This window comes from Homo sapiens, chromosome 15 (genome assembly GCF_000001405.40).
Source record: "Homo sapiens chromosome 15, GRCh38.p14 Primary Assembly".
Lineage (NCBI taxonomy): Eukaryota > Metazoa > Chordata > Mammalia > Primates > Hominidae > Homo > Homo sapiens.
Window position 1 is genome coordinate 32,575,824 of NC_000015.10, and position 6,000 is coordinate 32,581,823.

General features: G+C 42.9%; 1 long non-coding RNA gene across 1 annotated transcript in view; it reads left to right on the plus strand.

Annotated features, from left to right (window-relative positions):
* LINC02256 (long intergenic non-protein coding RNA 2256) overlaps nt 1-4,786 on the plus strand; it is a 43,851-nt gene extending 39,065 nt beyond the window's left edge. The window contains exons 2-3 of the long non-coding RNA NR_102756.1: nt 94-177; nt 3,885-4,786. This is a non-coding gene — a long non-coding RNA (long intergenic non-protein coding RNA 2256). The remainder of the gene's footprint in view (nt 1-93; nt 178-3,884) is intronic.
* The last annotated feature ends 1,214 nt before the right edge of the window (nt 4,787-6,000 follow it).

The following is a 6,000-nucleotide window of genomic DNA, read 5'->3' on the forward strand; positions in this document are numbered from 1 at the left end:
CTTAAATGCATTTTCGGCTTATATTTTCAACTGATGATGAGCTATAACTCCTTTGTGAGTTGAGGATCATCTGTCTTGAATTTGGTTTTACAGGCATAACTGAAGGTGAAAGGACAGAATCACCGTGTGTTACTGGCACAGATGCATCGGCTAGTGAAGAAAGAAGACATTCAAACTGTAAGTTGCATTCACGTGGGAAGCACAAAGAATTAAATTCAAAACAATGAAACATTAGAGAAAAGCATGGAGTTAAAACACAACAGAATCAGATGTTTACTATTTCTCATTTTAACACTAGTGCTTTGCGGGCTTCTAATAAAGTTGTACTCCAGGAGGCTAAGACTGAAAAGTGACACTAGTGAAAAGTAGCATTGAAATAGTTCCTAGAAAAGTTGGGTGAATGTGGGGCAAAGATGCTACTAAACTTTAATTTTCCATCGACACACAAATTCAAAGTTTTCCAGAACTGGCAAGTAAAATGGAAGATCCACTCACAGGACACATGCAGTGTGTGAGGGGAATGCTTTTCAGCACTTCTTGATGGATGCACAAATAATGCCAACGTGGTAAATGTCTTTGGTAAATGTGCAATGGAATGTAGTGGTTGTGTGAAGGAAGAATTTTGTTTTCTGCTTCATTTTTGATAAACACAAGCAGCTCTGGACTGTGTGAAACCATGGAGCACTGCACAGTTAACAGAGGTGGTTTGGAGTTTTTTAGCTTTGCATAAGAGGATGTTCTGATGCAGAATCTACAGTGACAGGAAACCATTCTGGACAAGTTACAGAATTAAGGGGCTTGTGCCGGGATGGAAATAAATCAATGACTTCTGTCTTTGAGAAGGTTTTTCTCTGCTCCTCTGTGATGGTTAATTTTTTTTTTTTTTTTTTTTTTGAGATGGAGTCTCGCTCTGTCCCCCAGGCTGGAGTGCAGTGGCGCCATCTCGGCTCACTGCAAGCTCTGCCTCCCGGGTTCATGCCATTCTCCTGCCTCAGCCTCCCAAGTAGCTGGGAGTACAGGTGCCTGCGGCTAATTTTGTGTATTTTTAGTAGAGCCAGGTTTCACCATGTTGGCCAGGATGGTCTCGATCTCCTGACCTTGTGATCCACCCGCCTTGGCCTCCCAAAGTGCTGGGATTACAGGCATGAGCCACCATGCCCCACCTTTTTTTCCTTTTCTTTTTTTTTTTCTTTCTTTCTTTCTTTTTTTTTTTTTTTTGTTAGTCCTTCCCTCCAGTGTCGTGGAGATAATTGGAAAATATTTTAGAGCAAAAAAGTTTATTTCTCCTTCTTGTTGTTAGCAAAGAAATTTATTTTTCCTTCTTGTTATTTATTGGCCTTGGAGACATACACCAAATAGCTCATTCTACTTCTGAAATTTTGTTTTGATTTCCCTGGCCCTCCCCACGAAGTATTTCAGATTAGCAGGGAGTCAAGCATTGTCTGTCTGTCTGTGAATAAAATATTTCAGGCTGCTTTTGCATAATATACATGCTCTTGCCTTTAAGAGTCACACTCACATCTTCTGGTTTTGTAAGACACCAGGTAGAGAAGAAAACAATGTTTCTGAATTCTGCTTTATCAGCCCAGTAGAGAACTCCTCCCTTCCCTGAACTGAGGGCCACATCTAAGGGGTTGAAACAGGGCCAGTTACATTCTATGTTCCCAACATAATTGTCCATGCACGGATCCAATCAAGTTAAATGAGAAATAGGATATTTATTCTAAAAACAAGTTATTGCTACAATAATAATAATACTATAGTAATATTATTCTAATAATGATATTAGAATAAAAACTGGTTATTAAAGTACTAAACAGTTGAAAATCTAAATGTCTCACAAGGTCAATTATAGCAAGTATATAAGATTTCGTATTAGTCGCACGTCAAAAATTATATCCATAAAAGTAATGACATATGAAAACAGTTTATTGATACAGATATAACAAATATAACTAAACTGTGCTGAAATGTATTTTAAAATAAAATATGCCAAAATATTATTGATGATGACTTTGGATGATGGTATTACCACTAAGGTTTCAAATTTAATTTGCCTCTTACTTCTGAGTACTTTTATAAATTTTTAAATAATAAAATTAGTGTGTTAAAAAATATCAAGTGATATCTAGAAATCAGAAAAAGGCATATTGCCAGAGGAGGACCGAGTTAGTAGATTTGAGGCTCCATTAAGTTTTGTTTATGATCAAAAAACAAACAAAAACCAGGCAACAGTGGCAAAAAATATCTCACTTCCTTCCTGGAAAAGTAAATGAGACTACAAAGAATTTCCAAACTTAAAAACTATACATTTCAAGTCTGTTCATAACTAGTGAAGTCACAGTTTCTGAAAACAATGATAAAATTTTAATTGATATTTAATTCATATTTTTTGTTTAAAAAACTATCAGTATTGGAAGATAAATTTCATGGGAAAAGCATTGAATCATTAAGTTTTGCAGTCACAAAGGTAAATATAATTTGCTTAATGCTGCCCTCAGTTTACAATGAGTCTTTAGTATTTTCTAAGCTATGAGTTCACCAAAATATCGGATTGTTTTGCTGTATATAATTTGCTCAGTGATCAAACACTAAGGAGTTACCTATGTTAAGATGTGAATAATAAATTTATGCAAAATTTATGAAAGTGTACATTGTAAAGACAATAAAACTTTCCATTAAATTGGTGGGAAAGGAGCTCAAAACCTAGCTGGGTGATTCATTATTTTAATGACTTCCTGCTTTACTGCAAAACCTCTCTCTTCATTCGGTGTTGGTAGTTTGAACCCCTGTTAAGGATATAGGCTCACAATGAAGCTTCTATAAATTTCTGGACCTCTGTCATGCTGGCATGTGTGTCATTCTCCTTTAGGAATGATGAGGAGACTGGAAAGCGGTTGCTCCAAGGGAAGGGATAATTTTGCAAACCTGAGCTGTCTAAGCTCAGCATGAATTGGAGTGGGCTGCTGACTCAGGCTAGCAGAGGCAGCCAGGAAACATGCAAATCTGCAATCCGTTCTGCCAGGTCTGTCGCAGCAGGTGTCACTAAAGGCACCCCTGTGTGCTTGTCACTGTGGCAGCCTTGACAAGGAAGGTGGAAAGGAAAAAGAGACCCAGTGCTGAACTCCAAGCAGAGATGGGGCTTTTCTCTATGCATATTTTCCCTCCCCTCCCAGCCTGCATTTCCAATAACATATTGATTTATATTTGTATTATGAAACAAAAGTGGTTGTAATCAGATGTTCTTTCCTTTTACACACAATGTTAGCTCCTATTTACATTCCTAACTGAACAATGTCTAAAGAGGTATTTAAACTGATGTAAAACGCAGATAATCTCATGACCAAATGCTTAGCGCAAGAAAAAACTTCAATTTGCAAGAGAAGTCCCTCCAAATACAGAAAGGACCAGTATTGTAAGAGGTACCTTAACTAAAATGTAGCAATGTAAGGCGCAGAGCAGGAAGAACTTTTAAGTCTGAAACTTACAACAAGTCAATTTCATAGTCAGTTTCCCTGGGCCTTCCACAACAGCCTCCGGCACCTGTTTTCTCTACAATGGAGGTAACAATAGTAGCTATTTCAGAGTAGGAAATGGCTTAGAGCAGTGCTAGAATATGGTCGTGGCTATATAAAGTTTAGCTATTTGTATATTGTAAGAAACCTACGATGTGTTCTTTTATCGGTAGTCAGTAATGGATTTCTTGTGGGAAAGTAGCAGCCTCCTATGGGGGGAACACCCGCAGGTCCCACTAAGTGAACACTGGTGTCTGCTAACCTTTGCCTCTATTTGTCGCAATAATATACTGTCAAGCTGTTCCTTGAGTTAGCAATTTTATTTACATTCTTTTTCTTTTTTTTTTCCTTTCCCTTTTCCTGCCACAGAGTCCCGCTCTGTCGCCCAGTCTGGAGTGCAGCAGCGCCATCATAGCTCACTGCCACCTAGAAGCCGGGGTGAAGCAATCCTCCTCCATCAGCCTTCAGAGTAGCTGGGACTACCTGCGCGGCCCACCACAGCCGGCTAATCTTTGTGGTTTTTCTTTTGTTTTCCGTTCTGGGTTTCCGTCGGGCGCAGTGGCTCAGGCCTGCAATCCCAGCACTTTGGAAGGCAGAGGTGGGCGGATCACCCGAGGTCGGAGACCAGCCTGACCAACATGAAGAAATCCCGTCTCTACTAAAAAAAAGAAAAAAACTACAAAATTAGCCGGATATGGTGGCTCATGCCTGTAATCCCAGCTACTAGGGAGGCCCAGGCAGGAGAATCACCTAAATCCGGGAGGCCGAGGTTGCGGTGGGCAAAGATCACACCATTGCACTCCAGCCTGGACAACAAGGGTGAAACTCCGTCTCAAAACAGAGACCGGGTTTCACCATGTTGCCCAGGCGGTCTGGAACTCCTAGGCTCAAGCGATCTGCCACACTCGGCCTTCCAAAGTCCTGGGATCACAAGGGGGAGGCACCACGCCAGGCAGATCTATTCCTTTCTGGTTACTAAATTGGACCGGGGGCGCGGTGGCTCACGCCTGCAATCCCAGCACCCAGGGAGGCGGAGGCGGGCGTATCACTCGAGGTCAGGAGCTCGAGATCAGCCTGACCAACACGGAGAAACCCCGTCTGTACCAAAAAAATAAAACCAAAATTAGCTGGCATGGTGGCTCATGCCTGCAATCCCAGACACTCAGGAGGCTGAGGCAGGAGAACCACCTAAACCCGGGAGGTGGAGGCCGCGGTGAGTCGAGACCACGCCACTGCACTCCAGCCTGCAAAACGAGCGAAACTCCACTCAAAAAAAAAAAAAAAAAAGACAGTGTTTCACCACGTTGCCCAGGCCGGTCTGGAAGTCCTAGGCTCAATCGATCGCCGCGCTCGGCCGTCCACAGTACTGGGATCACAAGCATGAGCTACCACGCCAGGCCGATCTATTCCTTTCTGGTTACTAAATTGGACCGGGGGCACGGTGGCTCACGCCTGCAATCCCAGCACCCAGGGAGGCGGAGGCGGGTGGATCACCCGAGGTCAGGAGCTTGAGATCAGCCCGACCAACACGGAGAAACCCCGTCTGTACAAAAAAAAAACACCAAAATTAGCTGGCATGGTGGCTCATGCCTGCAATCCCAGCCACTCAGGAGGCTTAGGCAGGAGAACCACCTAACCGGGAGGTGGAGGCCGCGGTGAGTCGAGACCGGAAAACACTCTAGCCTGGAAAACGAGCGAAACTCCACTCAAAAAAAAAAAAAAAAAAAAAAAAAAAAGACCGTGTTTCACCATGTCGTCCAGGCTGGTCTGGAACTCCTAGAACATGTAGATGTTACCTCATTTGGAAAAAGCAGATTTTCAGGTATGATTAAGTTAAGGATCTTGAAGAGAGATTATCCTGGATTGTCTCCGTGGGCATTAAATCCTGGCACATATATCCTTATAAGAGGGAGATAAAGGAGATTTAACTTCAGACAGAAGAGAAGGAGGCCCTGTGACCAAGAAGGCAGAGCCTGGAGTGGTGGAGCTGCAAGCCAATGAATGCCAGCAGCCATCAGAAGCTGCGCAAGTCAAAGGATGGATTTTCCCCTCAGCCTCTGAGAGCACTGGCTCTGCTGAGACCTAGATTTCAGCCCAGTGATACTGATTTTGGACTTCTGATATCCAAAACTGTGAGAAAATAAATTTCTGTTGTTTTAAGTCACCACATTTTTGGTAATTTGCTCTAACAGCCACAGGAAAGTAACATACATGCCTACCTGGGTCCAGTTGTGTCCTGTGACTCCTGCTTTCCTGGGACAGGCAGGCTGCTCCGTGCCTCCTGGCCATCCTACTGGGTGCTGGACGCTGTAGGCTGCTCCATGCCTGTTGGCCATTCCCTTTGGTGCTGGACAGCACTCACATTGTGAAATCCACTGGCCCTGTGAAAAACACCTGGAAATGTTACCAGGAGAGGGGTTAGTTCTCTTTTTGGCAACCCATGTTATTGCTTATGGCTTAATATCTGTGCCTCCAAGATCCCTTC